Source organism: Homo sapiens, chromosome 18 (genome assembly GCF_000001405.40).
Source record: "Homo sapiens chromosome 18, GRCh38.p14 Primary Assembly".
Classification (NCBI taxonomy): Eukaryota; Metazoa; Chordata; class Mammalia; order Primates; family Hominidae; genus Homo; species Homo sapiens.
In genome coordinates, this window is record NC_000018.10 from 705,104 (window position 1) to 731,199 (window position 26,096).

General features: G+C 42.0%; 2 protein-coding genes across 51 annotated transcripts in view, besides 3 other annotated features; both read right to left on the reverse strand.

Annotated features, from left to right (window-relative positions):
- ENOSF1 (enolase superfamily member 1) overlaps nucleotides 1–7,527 on the reverse strand; it is a 49,645-nt gene extending 42,118 nt beyond the window's left edge. For 21 of the 41 annotated variants that reach the window (XR_007066190.1, NR_148711.2, NR_148706.2 and 18 more), the window contains exons 1-2: nucleotides 7,401–7,527; nucleotides 1,367–1,475 (exon numbers count right to left, since the gene is read on the reverse strand). Coding sequence is in view for 20 of the 41 variants with exons in the window: in NM_001439137.1 (NP_001426066.1) it covers nucleotides 1,367–1,475; nucleotides 7,401–7,484 (193 nt within the window). In the remaining 21 variants the exon portion in view is untranslated. Of the gene's footprint in view, nucleotides 1–1,366; nucleotides 1,476–7,256 lie in introns of all 41 variants that reach the window. The other 20 variants (XR_007066187.1, XR_430041.5, XR_007066181.1 and 17 more) reach the window with 2 other exon arrangements.
- Nucleotides 7,452–7,771: a silencer, noted in NCBI's record as "silent region_9242". NCBI's record gives its function as "represses an Ori minimal core promoter by ATAC-STARR-seq in GM12878 lymphoblastoid cells {active_cell/tissue: GM12878}" and the evidence as "EXISTENCE:reporter gene assay evidence [ECO:0000049][PMID:35858748]".
- Nucleotides 7,723–8,302: an enhancer, noted in NCBI's record as "H3K27ac hESC enhancer chr18:712826-713405 (GRCh37/hg19 assembly coordinates)". NCBI's record gives its function as "activates a minimal SCP1, AML or CMV promoter by ChIP-STARR-seq in primed H9 embryonic stem cells {active_cell/tissue: H9 hESC(primed)}" and the evidence as "EXISTENCE:reporter gene assay evidence [ECO:0000049][PMID:30033119]".
- Nucleotides 10,526–10,820: a silencer, noted in NCBI's record as "tiled region #6782; HepG2 Repressive non-DNase unmatched - State 23:Low". NCBI's record gives its function as "represses a minimal TATA promoter and a strong SV40 promoter by Sharpr-MPRA in HepG2 cells {active_cell/tissue: HepG2}" and the evidence as "EXISTENCE:reporter gene assay evidence [ECO:0000049][PMID:27701403]".
- The window catches only part of YES1 (YES proto-oncogene 1, Src family tyrosine kinase), a 91,166-nt gene continuing 81,554 nt past the window's right edge, over nucleotides 16,485–26,096 (reverse strand). For all 10 annotated transcript variants that reach the window (XM_047437770.1, XM_024451244.2, XM_047437771.1 and 7 more), the window contains one exon: nucleotides 16,485–19,529. In XM_047437770.1, coding sequence (XP_047293726.1) covers nucleotides 19,321–19,529 — 209 coding nt within the window. In that variant the 3' untranslated portion in view covers nucleotides 16,485–19,320. The remainder of the gene's footprint in view (nucleotides 19,530–26,096) is intronic.

Consider the following 26,096-nt stretch of genomic DNA (forward strand, 5'->3'; position numbering starts at 1 on the left):
TTCTTTTATATGCTTAACAATTTAAAATCTCTCAATGGGCCAAGATTTTTTTCTACAACTACTGAGAGCGCTGATGGTGCAAATATCCAAGGGAGAGGTATCACACTACCACCGAAGTTAGAGAAACTCTTTTCCCTCCTTCTAGACCCTTACCCTTCAATCTATCATAATTTGGCTTCAGGCTCTAATAATCCACTGAAATTGATCTGGCGAAGGCCACTGTTTTGGACTTCTTGAATTTTGTACCATGTGTAAGTATTATGTATTCAAAAAGAGTTGCATTTAAAAGTTCTGAAGAGAAAGTGCTCTGGGCAGTCAGGTGGTTCTGCCATGACTTGCTGGGTAGCTGTCTGTGCCTCAGTTTTCTTCTCTCTAAAAAATGAGACGGCTCAAGATCACCATTTGAGATCACATCCAGCTCTGAAAAAAGTTATGTTCTGTGTCTTCTGTTTAAGAAAATAGAAAATGCAAATAAAAAAAGAATGACGTATACATGGCTCAGTATGCATCTTAAAGAATCTGCTCTTCCCCAAGGGAGACCTCCGAGATTGGGCGGGGCCAAAGCCCTTTTCGCCATGAAAATAGTGAACTGGAAACCGATTTGGTGTGAAATATTTTGAAAAGGCCGGGTGTGATGGCTCACACCTGTAATCCCAGCACTTTGCGAGGCTGAGACAGGCGGATCATTTGAGGTCAGGAGTTCGAGACCAGCCTGGTCAACATGGTGAAACCCTGTCTCTACTAAAAATACAAAAATTGGCTGGGCATGGTGGTGGGAGCCTGTAATCCTAGCTTCTCGGGAGGCTGAGGCAGGAGAATTGCTTGAACCCAGGAGGCAGAGGTTGCAGTGAGCTGAGATTGTGCCACTGCACTCCAGCCTGGGCGACAGAGTGAGACTCTGTCTCAAAAATATATACATATATATATTGAAAAGCGAGTAGACGTGCTGTGCACATCACAATGAGCCTTTTTTGCTATGGGAACTCATGTCTCCTCCCTCTCATTGCCCTTGGTTACTCGCCCACTACAGGTTGTCAAAGCTCGACAGTGGCCCCGGGTGAAAGGCAGGTGAAAAGCATCCTTGTAGCTGTCATTTGACACAGAGAAACAGACTAACAGCCAAGGATTTTCTAACAGGCTAGAGATGATTGCAAGGAGAGAGGCCAAATTCTGTCACTTTTAAATTTCTCCCAGTGAAACAAGTAACAAACCATGAAACTTTTTACTCACTTTGAGCAGTGTAAATACAGATAAAAACAAGATCAGAACTCAATCTAAATCAAGATTCTAATGAATCTAAGAATCTAAATTAGAATCTCATCTGAAAATTAAGCATTCTGGAACCTCGAGAGAATCTTCAACTCACCAACTTCAGTGCCTTTTCCCAGAGTGAAGGTAATTCCACACCCCTTGATTCCATCTTCTGCATCAGTTTCTATGACGACATAGGCAGCCGAGTAGTCAGGGTCCGTGTGCTGCAGGAGAAGAGTTCCCCGCCGAAACAATGCCAGTGTGAGAAACCCGAAAAGAACCATGAGAATGATGTCACATGAGGACAGACAATGCCACAGGGGCCGTGCCACAAGAGCTCCCATAGAAGGAACTGTTGCTATACCCCAAAGAAAACAAAGGGCTCTGAATGGAGAAAAGGAATGTCCTCCTGAAAGATCCAAAATGTTTCAACAAGAGCAATGTATGTATATATATATATATTTTTTTTTTTTTTCTTTTTTGAGACAGAGTCTTGCTCTGTCACCTAGGCAGGAGTGCAATGGTGCGATCTCAGCTCACTGCAACTGCAGCCTCCCAAGTTCAAGCGATTCTCCTGCCTCAGCCTCCCGGGTAGCTGGGATTACAGGCACGTGCCACCACACTTGGCTGATTTTTGTATTTTTAATAGAGACGAAGTTTCACCATGTTGGCCAGGCTGGTCTTGAACTCCTGACCTCAGGTGATCCACCTGCCTTGGCCTCCCAAAGTGCTGGGATTACAAGTGTGAGCCACCGCACCTGGTCGCAATGTATACATTTTTATCACCCATTTTCAATTAGGTTAAAAAATGAGGCTCAATTTTATTTACTTATTTATTTTTTAAATAAAAAAATAGAGATGGAGTCTTGCATGTTACCCAGGCTGGTCTCAAACTCCAGAGCTCTAGTGATCCACCCGCTTGGGCCTCTTAAAGTGCTGGGATTACAGGCATGAGCCATCATGCCCGGAAGGGGCTCAATTTTAAGCCAAGGAGTTTTCACTCGCAGCTATCTCTGTCAGCTTTTTGAACAAAGTTACATTCACAAGCAGCTTCAAATTGAACAAGCCAAAGGTTCAGAAAACTGTTGCATAAAATTGGAGTGATCTCACTTATAGCAGTTTATAGCAGGGCTGAAAATACATTGGCAAAAGTTCAGACACCAGTGGGGGAAAATGAAGAAGTAAAGCTTCGAGATTAATTCACTAATTTTTTGTTTTGTTCTATGTCATGGAATAATGGAGACTCCAAAAAGCCAGGCAGAAGATGTGAATGCATTCATAAAGAAGAATTGTGCATAAGGCTATGAAAATTTATTACTGTTATTATTCTATAATATTTATTGTGCCAGACACACTATATTCTAAGAGCTCCACATGGTTTAATTTAATCTTATAACAATATTATAAAGTAGGTGCTCTTATCCTTATTAAAGAGGAAATGAAGTTTTAAGGAGCTTTAGTAATTTACAAAAGGTCACACCACAAGTAAATAATGTTTTATTATTATTATTATTATTATTTTTGAGACTGACTCTCACTCTGTTCTCCAGGCTGGAGTGCAGTGGCATGATCTTGGCTCACTGCAACCTCTGCCTCCTGGATTCAAGCGATTCTTCTGCCTCAGCCTCCCAAGTAGCTGGGATTACAGGCACCCACCACTATGACCAGCTTTTTTTTTTTTTTTTTAGTAAAGATGGGATTTTGCCATGTTGGCCAGGCTGGTCTTGAACTCCTGACCTCAGGTGATCCACTTGCCTCGGCCTCCCAAAGTGCTAGGATTACAGGTGTGAGCCACCACGCCCGGCCACAAGTAAATTATGAAGGCAGATTTTAAATCCCTGTATTGGGGTGTCGTGGCTGAGGGAGCTGTATGTGATGGCTGGGAGCCCTGAGTCTGGTATCACAGTCCAGTGGCAGGAAATCAGTGTGATGCATCGCTGAGCATCAAGTACGTGTCAGAGCTGGTGCAGCTTGCTAGGGGGTTACAGATACGTCTGCCCTTGAGGAGGTTACATTTGAGAAGACCTGCTTATAGAACGGGCATGCTGGCTCATACCTGTAATCCCAACACTTTGGGAGGCCAAGACAGGAGGATTGTTTGAGCCCAGGAGTTCGAGACTAGCCTGGGCAACAAAGCGAGACCCCATCTCTAAAATAAATAAATAAAAAGACATGGTTAAAAAAAAACCTTAATAATATAAGGCAGAAAATGCTAAGGCCTGGGAGGGATGCAAACTATGAACGACTGGCAGAGAGCGCTGTTAGCTGAATGTGCTTCTTGAAGAGGGAGAGCGCTTTATGATGAAGACAGAATGTGAGCTGGCCGGTCAAGGAAGGGGAGCTCCTCAGCAGTGGCAAGGGGAGTGAAGAGTCTGGGAGGGAGGAATATCTCAGGCAAGGTAGCAGCAGCAGCAGTGCAGAAAGTAAAGGGGTCAGAAGAGGGAGAGACTGGAGTGTATTCAAGTGTTGGTGCCCACCTGGGTTGGCTGAGCCATTGGGTTCCTGAAGGAGTTGAGCGATGAGGCTGAGAAGGAGACTCCAAGAATTAAAGACCCATCGGCAGTTTCTGGGTTCCAAGAAGAGGAAGCAATGGAAAAAGGAAACCTTGCACTGAAGCCTCAGATGAGGGTCAACAGGACGAGATGAGCCAAAAGTGACTCGAAGCTTTTGGGTCCCTGTGATTAGCGGAATGATCCAACATGGGTCAGGAGGGAGGGGCGGCAGAGAATGGAAGTTGACTTCCGATTTAGACAAACTGCGTTTAGCATGAAGGTGAAAAACCAAACAGGAAGTATCCAGACCTATAAGTTAAGGAGGCAGATCCGGAAATGAGATCTGGGAGTCTCCGGCATAAAGGGTGGCACCGAAGTCAGAATGCGGAGAGGGTCTTCATGGGAGTGTGTAGGGAGACCGGAAAGACACTGAGGCCTGAGCCTCAGAGAGGGAAGAAGGGGCCAGTGGAGGAAGAAGGAGCTGTCAGAAAGGCAGGAGGCCACGAGGGGAGAGAGCACACGAAGAAGAGGCAGCCGACAGCGGAAAACGTATCTGAGGGTAAGGACAGCTGAAGGAGAAATAACAAGGGCAATTCACAGAGAAGAAAGGAACAGAAGTAGATTTCAGATTAAGAAGGAGGTAAGCCCGGAGTAGTGGCTCATGCCTGTAATCCGGCACTTTGGGAGGCCGAGGCAGGTGGATCACCTGAGCTCAGGAGTTCGAGACCAGCCTGGACAACATGGTGAAACCCCGTCTCTACCAAAAATACAAAAATTAGCCAGGTGTGGTGGTGCACACCTGTAATCACAGCTACTCCAGAGGCTGAGGTACGAGAATCATTTGCATATGGGAGGCAGAGGTTGCAGTGAGATGAGATTGCACCACTGCACTCCAGGCTGGGCAACAAGCGAGACTCTGTCTAAAAAAAAAAAGCAGGAGTCTTTAGCAGATTTTGAGGACAGCTTTATTGCTCTTTCTTGAAAATATCCTACTTCTGATCAGGGAGGCTCACTTTGCTAAGTGCTGATGGTCCAGCATGCCTCGAGGGCATGTGAAGCCATCTCCATGGTGAACTGCAAAACAGCTCATTCTAATAAGAAGGCACTTGAGAGCTGGCACACAACATACACCCTATCTCCCCAAGATAAAATGCTTAAGTATTTATGAGCTTGCAATACAGGTGTTAGATAATGTCTCCTTACCCTGTGTTAGACATCACTCAGGCCCAGAGGCAAATTCCATTTCTTGAATTATTCTACAGTAAACCAGGCTGTCTTTTGAGACAGGGTCTCTCTCTCTCACCCAGGCTGGAGTGCAGTGACACAATTACAGCTCACTGCAGCCTCGACCTCCTGGACTCAAGAGATCCTCCCACCTCAGCCTCCTGAGTGGCTGGGACCACAGGTGCATGCAACTACGCCCAGCTAATTTTTGTATTTTTTTGTTGAGACGAGGTCTCACTATGTTGCTCAGGCTGGTCTCGAACTCCTGGGCTCAAGCGATCCACCTGCCTTGGCCTTCCAAAGTGCTGGGATTATAGGCTTGAACCACCACGCTCAGCCAAACCAGGCTGTCTTAACATTTCACAAATTCAAAGTCAAGTCTAGATTAGGGATTCCTTCTGCTTCAGTTTCCTCAGAGTGAATAGTAATTACAGCCACCCCTCCTTTTTTCTTTAGAAACAGGGTCTCACTGTGTCATCCAGTGCCCAGGCTGGAATGCAGTGGCATGATCATAGCTCATGTAATTGAATTCCTGGGCTCAAGTGATCCCCCTGCCTAGGCCTCCACTTAGGATTAGAGGTGTGAGCCCTCATGCCTGGCCTATAGCCAACTTTACTGACGGCCTTCTCTGAGCCAGGCTCTTTACAGGTATCTCATTTACATGTATAAAGTGAATATTATTATACCCATTTTACAGATGAGAAACCTAGGCTTAGAAAGATTGTGTGACTTAGCCACAGCTGCTAAAGCTTCACAGAGGCAAAGGCAGTTGCATGAGATCGAGTGTTTGGATTCTATAAGCCAGTAAAATTTCCAACATTTATTTTGAGTTCCATAAAGGATTGCCTGCTGGGTGTTTAAGTTATTTACCAACATCATGTAAGAAAGGAAACATGAAGATTTTAAAGAGGATGACAGCCTGGGCCCTGTCTCTACAAAAAATACAGAAAGTAGCTGGGCATCATGGTGCACACCTGTAGTCCCAGCTACTTGGGAGGCTGAGGTGGGAGGATTGGTTGAGTCAGGGAGGTCAAGGCTGCTGTGAGCCATGATAGTACCACTGCACTCCAGCTTGGGCAACAGATAAGAGACCCTGCCTCAAAATAAATAAATAAATAAATTTAAAACATAAAATAGAATAAAATAAAAATTTAAAAATGCAGGATGAACTTAATCTCAAAAAGGACATTGTTTTGCATTTAATAACTTTAACGAGAGATCTATTTTTATAAAACATTTCAGGTACAAAAAGAGTATAGATAATGTAATGGACACCAGCTTGCCATCCACCCAATTTAGGAAGTAAAACATTACAATGGGAATTAGAGACCTCGTGGTCCCCTCCGTGACCCCATTTCCTTCCCTCCCTACTGGTAACCATTTTCCTAACATTGCCGTTCCTCACTTCCCAGCATACTTTCACACATTCACTACATACCCATACAACTCTGCTTTTCTAGCGCGGCCAATCTCATCAGTGGACTACGAGGGGCAGTGAGGACCCAGTGGGGAACAGGCTCCCTGAAAACCCTGCACAGAACCCACTGTATTTGGGAAACACCGCTCTAGACGGGGGCAGGGGAGGGAAGGCCTGACATTCTAACACCCTCAGTAAGCAAAAAAGACCTTCAATATTTAGGTAGGAGTCAGAGTTCCTGCCCTTACTTTATTACATCTCTTAAGACGAACTGACATTTGCATCAGTCCTTTCTAAGCGTGTTTGCGGGTAATTTCACGAGAGCGCCCTCTCATGTGACGCAGTTAGCACGCGCTTGGTTTCTCAACCCGACTGTGACACCTTCATTACACAGACGGGTCCAAGAGACCCAGAGAGGTCTGGAACTTCTCCAAGTCACACAGCAAGTTGTGGAAGCGGGATCACCACTCAAAACTCCCAGCCCCGGGCTTCCCGTTCTCCCTCAGCGCCAACCCCGTCGCGTTCAGGGTACAGAGGAAGCCAGCGAGCGCTGTGCTCTAGGGTTTCCACTGGCGGGAACCCAACAAAATCATTTTGCTGCTATTGCCTATTATGCATTCTACCATTTCCAGCAAAATGTGAGTCGTAAAAGTAAAACCAGGATATTCTAAACTCCAGCAAAGAAAAAACCCAGGAGAGTGGAAAGTTTCTGGATACTTATACAATTGCTCCAAGGCATGAAAAGCGAGTGTCTCCCCCAGGCGCGCCTCCCACTTTACAGAAGCAATGGGTTCGAAGTCGGGAAGCTGCCCGGGGCCCGCAGAGCTGCAGTCGGCGGGGCGGGAGGGACCCGGGCCGCAAGCCGCGCGTACCATGGCGTCCGCGCTTACCATGGCGTCCGCGCTTACCATGGCGTCCGCGCTTACCATGGCGTCCGCGCTTACCATGGCGTCCGCGCTTACCATGGCGTCCGCGCTTACCATGGCGTCCGCGCTTACCATGGCGTCCGCGCTTACCATGGCGTCCGCGCCGTGGCCCCCAAGCGACGTGGGGAAGCGCACGTCCCGGACCGAGAGCCGGGAGATCCTGCCGCGCACCATGGCCCCTGCGCCCCGTGGCCGCGGCCCCCGTGCGGTCAGGACTGGTCGGGATCCCGAGCGCGCGGCGGGAGGGCGGGAGGGCGGGAGCGCGGCAGCGCCGCGAGGCGGGGCACCGTCAGGGCATAGAGGGCGCTCATTGGCCGCGCGGCCGCACCCCGTGAACTTGGCCCCATGGGAGCTGCAGTCCCAGCTCCGGGCTCCCGGGGGCGCACTCCGCCTTCCGCCGTTCCCTTCTCAGCCTAGACGGAGCTGACCCCGAGAGGGTTCGCTCAGGGTCGCCGGGGAACCTGGGCAGGCAGGAGGCCTCGCGCCCGGTCGGCGCCTCCGCGGGACCCTGCTCTGCTCGGATGGAAGACTCGTGAAGGGACCTGCCCGGGAGCCGCGCCCTAGAGGGAGAAGTCGGGTCTGAGCGAGTGCATTCGCTCAGCGGCAGATTCCGGCCAGTGGCTCAGCTCCCAAGCCGAGGCCGCTGGTTGTCGCCAGCGTACCCAGGAGAGCGGTGCCCTAGAAAATGCTAGGTCTCTTTCAGTGCCCACAGCCTCAGTTTGCCACCTGATAAATTAAGAGGCAGGTCATCATTGATTACACCCGTACTGATGCAGATGAGGTCCCCGTACCGTGCCTCAGCCTGTAATCCCAGCACTTCGGGAGGCCGAGGCGGGCGGATCACCTGAGGTCAGGCGTTTGAAATCAGCCTGGCCAATACGGCGAAATCCCGCCTCTACTAAAAACAAAAATTAGCAGGGCGTGGTGGTGCGCGCCCGTAGTCCCGGCTACTCGGGAGGCTGAGGCAGAACTGCCTGAACCCGGGAGGTGGAGCTTGCAGTGAACTGAGATCGCGCCACTGCACTGCAGCCCGGGCGACAGAGCAAGACTCCGACTCAAAAAAAAAAAAAAAAAAAAAAAGATGCTGGGCGGCTCACGCCTGTAATCCCAGCAGTTTGGGAGGCCAAGGCGGGCAGATGGCGAGTCAGGAGATCGAGACCATCCTGGCTAACACGGTGAAACCCCGTCTCTACTAAAAATACAAAAAATTAGCCGGGCGTGGTGGCGGGCGCCTGCAGTCCCAGCTACTCGGGAGGCTGAGGCAGGAGAATCGCTTCAACCCAGGAGGCGGAGGTTGCAGTGAGCCGAGATCGCACCACTGCACTCCAGCCTGGGCGACAGAGTGAGACTGTGTCTCAAAAATAAATAAATAAAAAGAAATAAAAAGAAAATCCAAAGTAAGCAGAAGAGAAGAAATAATAAAAATTAAAGCAGAAACCTGTGAAATTGAAAACAGGAAAGCAACAAAGAAAAATCAATGAAAACAAAAGCTGGTTCTTTGAAAACATTGATAAAATCAATAAGCCTCTAACCAGGCAAGAAAAGAGAACGCAAATAACTAATATCAAAAGTGAAATAAGGAACATTACTACAGATCCGACGGACATTAAAATGATAATAAAGGAATACTATGAATTCTATGTCCACAAATTTGATAACCTGGATGAAATAAACCAATTCCTTGAAAGACACAATCTGCCAAAACTCACACGAGAAGAAATGGACAATCTGAATAGGCCTATATCTATTAAATAACTTGAATAAATAATAGCCTTCCAAAAACAAAAAGCACCAGGTCCATGGTTTCACTGGTGAATTTTACACCAAACATTTAAGGAAGAAATTACAACAATTCTCTATAATCTATTTCAGAAGATAGAAACAGCCACAAACTGACTTTATGGTGAATGATTGATGCTTTCTCCTTAAGATTTGGAACAAGGAAAGGATGTCTGCTTCCACCACTTCTATTCAACATAGTACTGCAGGTTCTAGTTAGGGTAATATAATAAGAAAAGAAATAAAAGGCAGATTGAAAAGGAAGTAAACCTGTTTATTCTTGGATGACATGATTATTCATCTTTGTTGAAAACTGTCTTCATTGGACTTAACGAAAAAAGCTACTGGAACTAATATTGAGCTTAGCAAGTTTGTAGGATACAAGGTCAATTTAAAATCTATAGTTGATGTGCTAGTAATAAAAAATTGGAAACAAATTAGAAAACAGTATCTCTTAAAACAATTGCATTGAAGATATAAAACAGGACAAGTTTAACAAAAATATGCAAGATTTGCACACTGAACTATAAAACATTGCTGAGAAAAAAAGATCTAAAGAAATGTAGAAATGTAGAGAAATTCATATTCTTGGATTGGAAGACTCAATATTGTTAAAATAGCAGTTCTTCCCAAATCGAACTACAAATTCAATGCAATCTAATCTAAATCACTAGCAGGATTTTTTTGAAGAAATTGACAAGTTGATTCTAAAATTTATATGGAAATTTGAATAGCCAAAATAATCCTAAAAAAGAACAAGGCTGAAGAACTTAAACTACTTGGTTTTAAGACTTGCTATACACTAATCGAGTCAATGTGAAATTGACATAAAGACAGACAAGTAGATCAATGGAACAGAAGAGGTCTTGAAATAGTAAAAATACAAAAAATTAGCCAGGCGTGGTAGCACGCGCCTGTAGTCCCAGCTACTCGGGAGGCTGAGGCAGGAGAATCATTTGAACCCGGGAGGCGGAGGTTGCGGTGAGCTGAGATCGCGCCACTGCCCTCCAGGCTGGGCGACAAAGCGAGACTCCGTCTACAAAATAAAAACAACAAAAAAAAACAGGGGCCAAGAAAATTCAACGAGTAAGCTAATCTTTCCAACAACTGGTGCTCGAACAATTGAATATCCATAAGAACAAACAGAACAATCCTGGATCATTACCTTATATCATACACAAAAATCATCTCGAAGTGGAATATAGATCTAAATTTTAAGAGCTAGAATTACAAAACTTCTAAAGAAAACACAGGAGAAAATCTTTTTGTACTTGGATAAAGCAAACTTTCTTAGGACACTAAAAGCATGAATCATAAAAGAAAAACATTGCCAATTAAATTATCAACATTAAAAATGTTTTCTCTTTTATGAAAACCATTAAAGAAATGAAAATGCAAGCTGCAGATTGGAAGAAAAATATTTGCAAAACATATCTGTTAAAAGGACTTGTATGCAGAATACTGAAAAAATTACAACTCAGTAAGATGGCAACTTGATATAAAAAATGGGCAAAAGACTTTTTAATAGACATTCCACCTAAGCAGACATATGAATTTGAAATAAGCTTATGAAAAGACTCAACATTATTAGTCATTAGGGAAATGCACACTAAAACCACAATGATGTACTACTAACACGCACCAGGATGGCTGCAATTAAAGTGACTGGCAATACCAAGTATTGGCAAGGATGTGAAGCAGCTGGAACTCTCATACATTGCTGGAGGGGTATGAAAGGGTACAGCTTCTTTGGAAAATAGGTTATCAGTTTCTTAGAAAGTTAAGCATTCATGTATCATACAACTCAGTAATCCTACTCATAGGTAATTATCCAAGAGAATTTAAAACCTATGTTTAAAATAAAAACTTGTATTTGAATGTTCATAGCAGCTTTATTTGTGATAGCCTAAAACTAGTAACAACCTAAACATCCATCAATTGGTAAAGGACAAAACCAAGATGTAGTACACATCCACACAATGGAATATTACTGAGCCATAAAAAGATCTCAAAAGCATTATGCTAAACGAAAGACATCAGACACAGTGACTACATATGATTCCATTTATATAAAGCCCTAGAAATGTACAATTATAGTGACAGAAAACACTCAGTGGTTGACAGAGGTCAGGGGTGAATGGAAGAGATTGACTGTAAAAGGGCATAATGGAATTTTCTGAAATGATGGAAATGTTCTATGATTCTGGTTTCATGGTGGTTTCATGGCTGTCTACATTTGTCAACAACTCATCTAGTGGTACACTTAAAATGGTGAGCTTTGTTGTATGTAAATTATACCTCAATAAAACAAAAAATGTTGCTTTGGGGTGCTGCCTCCTCTTTGAATTTGATTCTAAGTTTGAATTTTCTTTGAAATTGCACTTAAAACTCTGCGAAAATGTTCTCTTGTATTTCTTTTAGATTGGGTTTCTTCTGGTTCCACGAATTTTTCAAAATTTCTGCTGAAGTGAAGCCACCCTTTTCTAACTTTCTAGCAATGGTAAAGATTACAAAAACCAACCAAACCAAGTTTGCCATCTAGTTCCATGGTATATCCTCTCAATGTTTTAGGAGACTAAGACTTTCCATGAAAATAGTGCAATTATGAGTGAATAAATGGAATTTGATAAACTTTAAGGGCCACACCACTTTAATTCAGTTATTAGAATCACTGTCAACCTTTTTGGCCAACTGCGAAGTTTTTATTTCTCTCATCCCTATTGTCACAGGCTAGTGACAATTTTTTACTTGGATTTTCAAAGTCCTCCAACTTACTCGTTAACTTGACCTTTAAGATAGAAGTGAAGCTGGATTGAACCCCTACGCCATGTCCCTGTGAAATCCAGTGTCTCTCCAAGTATCTCTGGAAGTACTTGGTGAACTTTTCTCCTACTTACCTGATTTATTTCCTGAATTTATTTCCCCACTGCGTTTAAACTAGGTTATGAAATCCATCCCTATCCTTTTTTGTACCTTGTCATTGTACCTCTGGCCGTGACCCCAATCCCTTTTCTTTCCTAAAGGTCACTGACTCACTGTTATGTGTAGCTGATTTGCAGGAAGGTTTGGGGTAGCAAGGACTCTGCAAGCAACTTAAAATTGAATACCGCCATCTGCTTCTTAAAGGTCCCAGGGACCATTCCTGCTACTGGATAAATTTCACATATTATCTATTTAGCTTTTATTGTTTTACTAAGTCTTATTTCTAATTTTTTTTTTTTTTTTTGAGACAGGGTCTCATTCTGTCACCCAGATTGGAGTGCAGTGGTGCAATCACAGTTCACTGCAGTTTCTACCTCCTGGACTCAAACAGTTATCCCACCTCAGCCTCCTTAGTAGTTGGGACCACAGGTACGCACCACCATGCCCAGCTAATTTTTGTACAGATGGGGTTTCGTCTTGCTGCCCAGGCTTATCTTGAACTCCTGGGCTCAAGCGATCCTCCAGACCAGGCTCCCAAAGTGTTGGGATTACAGGCATGAGCCACTGCACCCAGCCTCCTTCCTATACATTTTAAAATTCAACTCATAAATTATTATTGAATTGCAGTAAAACAGCTAATTGAACATTCTGTCCAACAGTTTTGCAACAAATGGTTTTCTAATATTGGAAAAATAGACATTGAAAAACTCTTTTAAAAAAGATTCGTTTTGGGGCGGTTGTGGTGGCTCACGCCTGTAATCCCAGCATTTTGGGAGGCTGAGGTGGACGAATCACCTGAGGTTAGTAGTTCGAGAGCAGCCTGGCCAACATGGCAAAACCCTCTCAATTAAAAATACAAAAATTAGCCGGGCATGGTGGCACACGCCTGTAATTCAAGCTACTTGGGAGATTGAGGCACAAGAATTGCTATAACCTGGGAGGCAGAGGTTGTAGTGAGCCAAGATCACACTGCTGCACTCCAGCCTGGGCGACAGAACGAAACTCTGGGGAAAAAAAAAATTGGAGTTTTCAATATTTCCAAGATTTGGTATGCTCTCTCCACAGTTAATAGTCTTGTAACTTTACATTTAATACAATGTTGCATATATTGCTGAAGTTTTGTATACACAGCACTGAAAATGTTTTGTATAAACTGTCACTTTTATGTGATAATTTGAGTTTCGTATTTTCTACTGATACAGCTGTTGGTATAATGAGTATCAGTCAGGGTCTCAACTGGAAGCAGATGGCATGCTCAAATTAAGATAAATCAAGAGGCCGTGCAGTGGCTCACACTTGGTAATTCCAGCACTTTGAGAAGCCAAGGTGGAAAGATTGCCTGAGCCTAGGAGTTTGAGACCTGCATAGGCAGCATAGCAAGACCTCATCTCTAGCAAAAATACAAAATTTGCTGGGCATGGTGGCCTGTGCTGTACTCCTAGCTACTTGGGAAGCCGAGGTGGGAGGATCCCTTGAGCCCGTGAGTTCGAGACTGCAGTGAGCTATGATCGTGCCACTGCACCCCAACCTGGGCGACAGCGTGAGAGAGATCCTGTCTGTAAAAAAAAAAAAAAAAAAAAAAAAAGCAAATCAAGGATATTTATTTACAAAGAGGTGGGCAGGTTAGGAACCACAAGGATTAATGCAGTATTAGTAGCAGCAAAACTGTCATCACCCCTGAGGCAGAAAACATATGGAATGGAAGCTGCTACCAGTCTCCAAAAGGAGGTGTATTAGGGAGGCCATATTGAGAACGTCCGGTTGACTGAAGGACATAGCCAGCCCAGAGTCTCAAGGAGGGAGCCGGGGGGAATCGAGAGAGCAAGGGAGCCCCCTGTAAGTACAAGTCAGCCTTCCAGAAGGAGCAGGCACAGTCTGGATGTGGAGGGCAAGCAGATGACATTGGGCACAGACTGCTTATTTTAATCAGAAAGTATTCCTTTCCCTCTTAACAATTTGAAAATTAATCAGGACTATGGTCACCAGTGGCAAAAACTCAACTTGATGTAGTTTAAACAAAAAAAAAAAAGGAGATACTGAAGGACAGGGAGGAGCTGATTTTAGGGAAATAAATGCTACTGGGGCAGTTTTTCAACTCTGCATGTTGGTTTCTTTTGTACCAAAATGGGAATCTGGTCTCCAGAAGCACTGGAATGGCACCCTTTGAGCAGTGTAATCAGACACAAGATGAGACTCATCTTCCAACTCCACACAGAAAGCTTAGAGAAGAACTTGATCTAAATGAAGACTTGCACAAATGGGATGAGAAACCTGATGGAAGATGCAAATTTTTACCAAATTAGTTTATAGGCATAATGCTATCCCAACCAAAATCTCACGTATTTTATAGGAATATGAAAAATAAAGGCTACAGTTAATCAAGAATTTGTCAGGACACTAAAATTTTAAGAAAAGGCATAGCAAAGGGAACTTGCTGTATTATTAAAGTGCATTATCAAGTGACAGCAGTTAAAATGCTTTGATGAAAGAAATACTTGGGCAAAACAGTATATGTATAATAAAGGAAGGAACCTAAACCAATGGACCAATGGGAATGAATGAATAATTGATGCTGAGAAAATTACCTATATGGGAAAAAAAATCATGCTAGACTCTTAAGTCACTTTTTTTTTTTTTTTGAGACAGTCTCGCTCTGTCGCCCAGGGTGGAGTGCAATGGTGCAATCTTGGCTCACTGCAACCTCTGCCTCCTGGGTTCAAGCGATTCTTGTGCCTCAGCCTCCCGAGTAGCTGGGACTACTGGCACGCACCACCATGCCTGGCTAATTTTTGTATTTTTAGTAGAGATGGTGTTTCATTATGTCGGCCAGGCTAGTCTCGAACTCCTGGCCTCAAGTGATCCACTGGCCTCGGCCTCCCAAAGTGCTGAGATTACAGGCACTATACCTGGCCCTTAAGTCACATTTTATACTCAACTTCCAAATCAATTAAAATGCTTTTTTTTTTTTTTTGAGACGGAGTCTCGCTGTGTCCCCAGGCTGGAGTGCAGTGGCACGATCTTGGCTCACTACAAGCTCCGCCTCCCGGGTTCACATCATTCTCCTGCCTCAGCCTCCGTAGTAGCTGAGACAACAGGCGCCAGCCACCACGCCCAGCTAATTTTTTGTATTTTTAGTAGAGATGGGGTTTCACCATGTTAACCAGGATGGTCTTGATCTCCTGACCTCGTGATCCACCCGCCTCGGCCTCCCAAAGTGCTGGGATTACAGGCATGAGCCACCGTGCCCGGCCTAAAATGCTTTTTAAAAAGCACAACCTATAGAGCTGGGCGCAGTGGCTTATGCCTGTAATTCCAGCACTTTGGGAGGCTGAGGCAGGCGGATCACTTGAGCTCAGGAGTTCTGAGACCAGCCTAAGCAACATGGCAAAACCCTGTCTCTACAAAATATCAAAAGTTAGCCAGGCAAGGTGGCTCGTACCTGTACTCCCAGCTACTTGGGAGGCTGAGGTGGGAGGATTGCTTGAGCCTGGGAGGTCGAGGCTGCAGTGAGCCATGATGGTGCCACTGCACTTCAACCTGGGCAACAGAGCAAGATCCTGTCACACACACACAGAAGCATAAACTATAATATAGATAGATGAATATTAATCTTGGGGTGGATGAAGACTTCTAAACATAAAAAAGGAATGAACAGATTTGACAATCTACAAATGTACAACTTACATGTCAGAAATTATATGGAAAATTAAAAGGCAAACAGGAAACTAGAAAAACATTCTTAAATTGAGGAACTATTGCTATACTACAAAAATAAATGTTTACTAAATGAAGTGTTTTAGAAATCAGAGAAAAAGCTAATAATTTTGTAATTAACTTATTGAAAATAAATGCTTTTGAATGACCATTCAAAATTTAGTATTAGACAATTTTATTTTCATTATCCTATATAATAATTATAAAACACAGAGATAAGGCTCATTTTTTTTCTTTTTTAGAAAATTAAGCCCCTTAATTTATAATAAAACTGGTCATTCTATTTTATATTCTTCACATAGATTGTGAATAGCTACACTCAAATTACTTAGGTTTCTGCATTAACTGTATTTGCTGGTATAATTTTAAGAAGAAGAAAATACTTGTAAAAATAATGTCACTCACTTGACATAGAAAATTGACCACAGGCCGGGCGCGGTGGCTCACGCCTGTAATCCCAGCACTTTGGGAGGCCGAAGCGGACGGATCACGAGGTCAGGAGATCGAGACCATCCTGGCTAACATGGTGAAACCCCGTCTCTACTAAAAAATACAAAAAATTAGCCGGGCGTGGTAGCAGGCGCCTGTAGTCCCAGCTACTCGGGTGGCCGAGGCAGGAGAATGGCGTGACCCCGGGAGGCGGAGCTTGCAGTGAGCCAAGATCGCGCCACTGCACTCCAGCCTGGGCGACAGAGCGAGACTCCGTCTCAAAAAAAAAACAAAACAAAACAAAAAAAAAAGAAAATTGACCACAAAGAATGAGTTCAATAATGTTCTGAATTTAATAAAGGATTGATTAAATTCTGCTCAGTAGTTACAAGTAACTGAACATTTTTTTCTCAATGGAAGAATAAATTCAGAATATATCAGTTTTTAAAAAACGAATGAGAATATGAATAGCAACTAAAACGATTAATAGGTGCATTCAATGAGAACTTTTTATTTCAATTATCCACAAAACAATATTACAATACTTTATAAAAATATTAAGTTTAGGCTACCATTATTCATTTAAAAAAGTGTGCTAGAAGGCTGTTTTTGCCAACTTCCTTTTTTGGTAAGGGTTAACTTCCACATTAAGACACTGAAGACGAAAAGCTGTTGGAAAATATCTCCAAATTTACAAAGTTGTTTTTCTTGGCAATTTAAAAATACAGAACAATTTAAAATGAATACACATTAAGTTAGTGTTTTATCCCTACTATACAATTGTTATTATATAAGGAACTGCTCCATTCAGTTAAAACCTAATGAATACCATCAACTTTTCCTGCCTTACTTTCCTGATTAGATTTAGTACATAAACGTAATTTTGTCACCCTTTTGAATATGCTTAGAAAAATTACAATATCATAGTTCACATAAAGCCCTTAAAAAATCTCATGTCACAAGTTGTTGATAAGAGGAAATAATGACAGCACTCTTCTTAGGAAGACCCTCTTGGTAGAGAGTGTCAATACTAAGCAGGTTACGTAAACAGAAAAAACAACCACAATTTTTAGTACCAGAACCACTGCCAACTTGCATGAAGTCCATCTTCACATTTTAAAAATGGTTTGAATTTGAACATATATGCCATGGCACAGAATTTCGAATCTGATGATTAAAATCAGGTAAATAATGATAGTTAAGAATTATATCCTGAAAATAGAGGGGCCTAATATAAGGCTTAATTTAAAGTGTGACTATATGAGAGTATTTTAAAACATATACACCAGACCTTCATTTTATTCATCAATTTTTCCTTTGCTAGACACTCAAACCACTAATGCTGCTATTCAAATCTGTATTTTGAAATTACTGAGTTACTCTTAAAAATTAGTCTTATTTTGTATGTTTCACTTTTGCACTTTAGGGTAAAAACTGTCCCCTTTTCACCACCGTTAATATTCAGAATAAGTTTTCCTCCCCAAATCAACCATTTAATGTATTCTAAAAGGGAAAAAATGACCACCATTACATAGACTTTAGAAGTGAATGTAGGCTGGGCGCGGTGGCTCACGCCTGTAATCCCAGCACTTTGGGAGGCCGAGGCGGGCAGATCACAAGGTCAGGAGATCGAGACTATCCTGGCTAACACGGTGAAACTGCGTCTCTACTAAAAATACAAAAAACTAGCCAGGCGTGGTGGTGGGCACCTGTAGTCCCAGCTACTCGGGAGGCTGAGGCAGGAGAATGGTGTGAACCTGGGAGGCAGAGCTTGCAGTGAGCCGAGATCGCGCCACTGCACTCCAGCCTGGGCGACAGAGCGAGACTCCGTCTCAAAAAAGAAAACAAAAAAAAGTGAATGTAGATTCAAACATGATTTGAAAACTGGAGTTCTAAAAATGTTTTACATAAAAACCATATCCCACTGCAATGAATGTGAAGCCATAACTTCATTATTTTGAACAAATACCCATTTAGTGTGTAAGAAAAATTAGTTTTATAGTTATACTTTATAACTCTTCAAAGTCTCAGAATATAGCTAAGTGAGGAGCTCTGAGTGCCAGCAAAGCCATTCTGTCACTCCATGACATCAACATTAAACATTACCTTCCATCCCTCTAACTTGTAAAACTTTCACTTTCTTTTCTCGTATTTCTTTTAAATACATTTTCCTCTCTGTTCATCTATATTCACCATGAGCAAAAGTGCATTCAAGTCCCTGATCTGGTCATATTTTCTATTTGTGGCACCCATCCCCATAAGGACATATAAGCAATACTCACAGTACGAAGTCTAGTTTTTAAAAAGGGCTTTTAAAATGCTGGGTCTTACTTTGCATGCTATCTAAAGATCAAAACATTTCCCCTTTGATTGGACAGTAGTTTCAATTATATATTGCCTTAAAAAATCAATGCAACCTCATACAAGATTAACTCACTTTCTAGTTACCTTCATTATTCTAAGTCAAACTCTTCAGAAAAGGACTGAAGTGAAAAAGTTCTTATTCTTTCAGTTCCATGAACATGAATATTAATGTACTGCATTATACTTTCAAATTCCACTTCTGTGGTCTAACATTTAATCAAGTTTGAGATCCTGTTTATATTCCTTTTGAAAAACCTGGCCCATGTCCATGCAAAAGAAAGCATATATTAAGATTGCATACTGACTGTTTAACTTAGAAAAAACTTTTGAGAATAATAAATGCAAGAAACTTTAAAAAACTGGAATGGAATTATTTGGTCCCATGATATTCCTTAATTTTAGATTTTATTATGGTATAGCTTTTTATCTCTCAAGTTTTATCTGTAACAATAAATAATTTTCTTTGAGCAATTCTGACTTTGGGGAAAAAAAGAAAGGAAATGATTTATAAATAAGCAGGAGCCTCACTGTCCTTCATTACCATGCTGTCACCCACACTGTCATCAGTATCTTAGCTCTATTTTGTTTGGACCCTGAAATACGCTGATAAATTCATCATTGGTACATTAGAGTTTAATACTTGGGGAAAAAAAAGTGGTTTTGTGCAACCATATCTGGGATTCCAGTTTACCATTAAAAACATGCAGAGTAAAGAAGATTTTCTTCTTTTGATTCCTGTAGAAAATCTACACAAGTTCTTTATATTTTGGCAGATTTGTGCATATAAAATAGGCTACTTGAATTATAAATTTTCTCCTGGCTGGTACTGTGGCTCTGTAGCAGTGAAGTAGTCTTCCAAGAAGGACTGAATATATTCAAATGTTGGTCTTTCATCAGGGTCCTTCTTCCAACACAGATTCATCAATTCATGGAGGGATTCTGGACAGCCCTGAGGGCACGGCATCCTGTATCCTCGCTCCACTTGTTCTAATACTTCACGGTTCACCATACCTAATACACAAGATTAAAACATTAAAGAACAATGGTCCTAACTACCACTAGGAAAACATAACAAACCCCCTAGCCACTAACTCATTCAAAGTATATTATTTAGTGAAACAATTCTTTTAACAAAGCAACAAAATAAATTTTAAACATGAGAATATCAAGAAGAGCTTAGAAAATGCTAATCTATGTTTTAACATGTCTAATTTTTCATTCCATCTTATATCTTATTTTTAATACTAATGTCTTCAAAAGCCAACCCCATTTGATTAATAAGAATTTAGGGTGCTACTATGAGGTACTGGTACTTTCTAATATTAACATTTAACAATGACCAAACTTGGGTTACTGAGGAATGGTGGCAAGATCCTGTCTGAAAGAACTTTAAAACAGGAATTCAGAAGAAAGTTCTAGTCTTGGTTTTGCCAAATATACCAACTACATAACTTTATATTGAATTACTTCTGTGAAAGTTTCCTTATCTAATATTACCTGTTTGACTTTCTTCAAGATATTACACATAGTTCCTTTCTTGTATTCCTTTGTAATCCCCCCTTCCTCAACCCCCTGATCAGCAGTTCACCCCATCTTATCACAGGACAGCAAAATGCCTCCTTTTCCAAATTCTTCCTGATAGTGTCTCACTAAGCCAGCAACCTCACCTCACGTCCTATCTCCCGCATCACCTTCCTTCCCTGCCTGCAAGTCAGGCCATCCCTTGTATCTCTTGGAAACTTTATCAACCAATCAGGAATGATATTTAAAATAGTCTATGATTCTCTAAAGAAAATGTAATGGGGTTAAATCATTACTATTTAGATTTTTAGTTATTTTTTTGAGGAATAAGTGATTTCTCAAAATACATTTTTTAAACTATTAAAAAAAACTCTACATGACATTACTTTGAAACTCAATACTTAAAAGGAAGTTTTCTGAGCTTTTCATCTAACTAGGTACTGTCATCTTCATAAGTGAAATCTGGCCGGGCACAGTGGCTCTCGTCTGTAATCCTGGCGCTTTGGGAGGCCAAGGCGGGTGATCATCTGAGGTCAGGAGTTCAAGACCAGCCTTGCCAACATGGTGAAACCACGACTCTACAAACTACAAAAATGAGCCAGGCATGATGGCAGGTGCCTGTAATCCCAGCTACTTGGGAAGCTGAGGTGGGAGAATCACTTGAACGGGAGGCGGAGGTTGCAGTGAGCCGAGATTGCGCCATAGCACTCCAGCCTGGGTGACAGAGCGAGACTCCATCTCGCGGGGTGGGGAAGTGAAATCCAGTACATTTTACTAACAGTGGAAATACAACTAGAAGTTGTTGGGTGAAGGAGAAAAGGAGTAAGGGAATTAATATTCAGTGAGGGCTTACTATAATTGAACTTCTTTTCCATTCTGTGTTCTTTTATTTTATGCTTATTATTTTAATTGACTGTTAGGATTAAGCAATCCAAATAAGCCGGAACCTATGAAAATAACTTCTAATTACCAATAAGCTTTCATTCAAAACTTCACTCAAAGGCCGGGTGCGGTGGCTCATGCCTGTAATCCCAGCACTTTGGGAGGCCGAGGCAGGCAGATCACGAGGTCAAGAGATTGAGACCATCCTGGCCAACATGGTGAAGCCCCGTCTCTACTAAAAATACAAAAAATTAGCTGGGCGTGGTGGTGGGCATCTGTAGTCCCAGCTACTTGGGAGGCTGAGGCAGGAGAATCGCTTGAACCTGGGAGGTGGAGGTTGCAGTGAGCTGAGATCGCACCACTGCACTCCAGCCTGGGTGACAGAGTGGGACTCCATCTCAAAAACACAAAAACAAAAACAACTTCACTCTTCAGAATTTTCTGATAATTAGAACTATTAAATTATTTGATGCCAGCTGGGCATGGTGGTTCACATCTGTAATCCCAGCACTTTGGGAGGCTGAGTGGGCGGATCACCTGAGGTCAGGAGTTTGAGACCAGCCTGGCCAACATGGCGAAACCCCCTCTCTACTAAAAATATAAAAACTAACTGGGCATGGTGGGCACACACCTGTAATCCCAGCTACTCGGGAGGCTGAGGCAGGAGAATCACTTGAACCTGGGAGGCGGAGGTTGCAGTGAGCAGAGATTGCACCACTGCACTCCAGCCTGGGTGACAAAGCAAGACTCTTGTCTCAAAAAAAAAAAAAAAAAAAAAAAAAAAAAAAAAATTCACATGGTAAATACTTAGCATACTGTCAATAAATGTAAGGATTTCATACCTGTTAGCATTTACCAAGGTTTATTACTATCCCCAAATAAGATGAGTAAACAGGCGCTGTTGCTTTGAAATGGACAATCTGCTGTAAGAACAGTAGGCAATGGATCGGTCCACGCTACATGTGGAAAGTTCTTTCCAAATCCTCTTAAAATCGTCAAAGAAAGACAATGAATGATAAAGTATCTCTTTTTCTTCTTTAAAGATGGGTAATCTACAAATCGTTTATATTCTGATTATCATCTGAATAATTAACTAGAATATCCTGATCATATAAATTTTTATGCATTTTGAAGCTATGTAGTTACATAGCTCATTTTGGATTTTTGTTTCCCTGTTGAACTGACCCTTTTATTATTATGAAACGTCCCTTTTTGTCCCTAGTACTATTTCTTGCCTTAAAGTCTACTGCTATCTAGGCTTTCTTCAGTTAGGATTTGCAGAGTATAACTTTTCCATCCTTTTAATTTCAGTCTCCTAAAATACCTTAAAGTATGTATCTTATAAATACCATTATAGTATTTGTGTATGTGTTTAAAATCCAGTCTTATCTTTTTTTATTGGAATGTTTAGTGTACCTAAATGTCATTTAATTATGGATGTAGTTGGGTTTAATTCTACCATCCTGATCTTTGTTCCATCTGTTCGTTTCTCCTCTCTTGCTTTTTAATTTGATTAAACAAGCATTTTTCAATGTTCAATTTTTTCTCTCCTCTGTTGGCTTTTTGTCTTCTCTTGTTATTTTAGTAGTTATCATTGAGACTACAATATGCTTCCTTGGTTTATTGTATGTTACTCAAAATAAGTACTTTTACCTGTTCCAAACTTAGAACGGTTTACCTCTTATTCCCTGACCCCCTCTACCCTTTGTGTTACTGTCACAGTCTATTTTTATATACATTATAAATTCGGTAAGATTTTTTATTGTTGGTGTTTTAGATCAGCAGTTTTCCCCAAAGCACTTTAAAGGCATAATTTCACTCTTCCCTGGCTTCCATATCTGAGGAAAAGTTAGCTGTCTGACTGTTGTTCCTGCGTAGATAATATATAGGCTGAGTATCCCTTATCTGAAATGTTTGGGACCAGAAGTGTTTCCGATTTTGGATTTTTTTGGATTTTGGAATATTTGCATATACATAATGAGATATCTTAAGGGATGGGACCCAAGTCTAAACACAAAATACATTTATGAGCCAGGCACGGTGGCTCGCACCTGTAATCCCGGCACTTTGGGAGGACAGGGCAGGCAAATCGCTTGAGCCTAGGATTTTGAGACCATCCTGGGCAACATGGTGAGACCCTGTCTCTACAAAAATTAGCTAGGTGGATGGCACACACCTGTGGTCTCAGCTACTTGGGAGGCTGAGGTGGGAGGATCACCTGAGCCCAGGGAGGTAGAGGCTGCAGTGAGCCCTGATTGTGCCACTGCACTCCAGCCTGGGTGACAGAGACCCTGTCTCAAAAAAAAAAAAATTCATTTATGTTTCATATACACCTTATACATATAGCCTGAAGGTAATTTTACATAATTTTAAAAATAATTTTCTGCACAAAACAAAATTTTGATGGTATTTTGACTGTGACCTGTCACATGAGGACGGGTGTGGAATTTTCCATTTGTGTTGTTATGTCAATGCTCAAAAAGTTTTGGATTTTGGAGCATTTCGGTTTTTTTTCTCTTTGAGATGAAGTCTTGCTCTGTTGCCCAAGCTGGAGTGCAGTAGTGCAATCTTGGCTCATTGCAACCTCTGCCTCCCAGGTTCAAGTGATTCTCCTGCCTCAGCCTCCAAGTAGCTGGTACTACAGGTGTGTGCCACCATGCCCAGCTAATTTTTGTATTTTTAGTAGAGATGGGGTTTCACTACATTGGCCAGGATGGTCTCAAACCCCTGACCTCGTGATCCACTGGCCTCGACCTCCCAAAGTACTGGGATTACAGGCCTGAGCCACTGCGCCCAGCTGCATTTCGGATTTTTGAATTAGGAATGCTCAATCTGCACCACCTCCTTATGGCTGTTTGGCTTTGATTTTTGTAATTTGACCATGATATGTTTGCTTGAATTTCACTGAGTTTAATTTTCTTGTTTGAGGTTCACTTAATCTGTGGGCTAGTATTTTGTTTTATCATATTTAGAAGATTTTTAGCCATTACTTTTTAAAAATGTTGTTACTGTTTCATTTTTTTCTCTCTTCTGCTTCTGGGACTCCACAAATTAGACCTTTTCACTATGCCCCACTGGTTTCATACATTCTGTTCTGCTTTCTTCCCCATTAGCTTTTATCTATGCATTACCTTGGATACTTTGTTAATGTGTCTGAATCCACTAATCTTGTCTTCTATTATGCCCATCTAGTGAGTACTTAATTTGATATAATGTTTTACAGTTCTAAAATTTCCATTTGAGGGCCAGGCGGGGTGGCTCACGCCTGTAATCTCAGCTACTTGGGAGGCTGAGGCAGGAGAATCGCTGGAACCTGGGAGGCGGAGGCTGCAGTGAACCAAGATCGTGCCACTGTACTCCAGCCTGGGAGACAGAGCGAGACTCTGTCCCAAAAGAAAATAAATAAATAAATAAATACAATTTCCATTTGATTCTTTTTTTTTTAATAGATTCCAATTCTGCTCAAATTCTCCAGTTTTTCATTATTTTGCAAAACTTTTCTTCTATTTTAACATTCCATATATTGCTATTTTGAAGTCTTTTGCTAACTCCAAGATTTGGATTATCTCAGAGTCTGCTCCTATTGATTTTGAACTTTTTTTTTTTTTTTTTTTTTTTTTGAGACAGAGTCTCGCTCTGTCACCCAGGCCAGAGTGCAGCGGCGCAATCTCAGCTCACTGCAACCTCCACCTCCTGGGTTCAAGCGATTCTCCTGCCTCAGCCTCCCGAGTAGCTGGGATTACAGGCGCCCGCCACCATGGCTGGCTAATTTTTGTATTTTTAGCAGAGATGGGGTTTTACCATCTTGGCCAGGCTGGTCTCAAACTCCTGACCTTGTGATCCACCCGCCTTGGCTTCCCAATGTGTTGGGATTACAGGCGTGAGCCACAGCGCCCAGCCAGATTTTGAACTCTTGATAATCAGTCATCTCTTCCCTTCTTCATATATCTAGTAACTTTTTATTTTGTGCTAGACATTTTGAATCATACACTGTAGATTATCTGGATCATGTTATCTTTTTCTGAAGGATGTTCAGTTTAATTCCATTTGGAATTTACCAGCAGATCACCTAGTTGTTAGGGCTTAGTTTTGCTCAGTTTTGCCCTTTCTCCTAGGGTATGGACTTTCTGGGGTCTCAACAAAAAGCCTAGCGTATTCTCCAACATCTATCCAGTTTGGCTGGGCAAGAACTCCTCAGCACTCTGTAGCCTCTGAACTCTGCTCGACTCCCCAGCCTCCTAGTGGCTATTTTCTGTTAGGTCTCCCAGAGACTCTCCCTGTGTATGTGCAGATTAGAACTGACCAAGGACCCAAGAGGATTTTTTTTTTTTTTTTTTTGAGACAGGGTCTTGCTCTGTTGCCCAGGCTGGAGTGCAGTGGCGCAATCATAGCTCACTGCAGCTTCAAATTCCTGGGCTCAAGCGATCCACCCACCTTAGCCTCCCAAAGTGCTGGGATTATAGGAGTGAGTCACCACGCCCAACTGGAATTTTAAAGCAGAATTTTAGAGTTCTTTCCCTATGGTTCCTTCTCTGGGACCCTGTCCTTCAGATCCCAGCACTAGGATCTCTGCCTCATTTGCTTAATAAGACTTATGCTTTCTGTCTGGGTTTTACTGCCCTGTGCTATTTTAGAAAATGCCTTCAGAAAAGCCAATATAAATGGGCTTCCTTGATGCAATGTCCTATCAGTTCTTTTACATATTTTATTTAACTTTTGTAGTTGTTTACAGTGCTATAATAAGTTGGATATTAGCCTCTCCATCATAGCTAAAACTGAAAGTTCCTCATGGTTATACATTTAAAGTGACACTATGTTGCATGGCTGTGTGGTTTTTTTCTAGCCCTGTCTGCAAGTGTGGTGTAGGCAGAGTTGGATTTATTTAATGTGGTGATTTTGCTAAGCAATGATGATGAAATCAGAGAAGGGTGAAATCAGCAAAGGAGTGATTATACTGCTTCACTAGGGAATTTAAGGAGTAGAATTGTTTCATGAAGGGGGTGAGAAGCAGGAAAAGGTGGCAGAAACAGTGGAGTAAAGATCCTGGTAGCATCAAGAAATTGCTAGGGTTGGGGTGGAGGGAGTTATCTGGAAAGATGGCAAGTGGTGGTCAGAAAGTAGATGCATGAAATAGATTTTGAAAGGGTTGCAGTTATTGGTAACATTAAGGTTTAA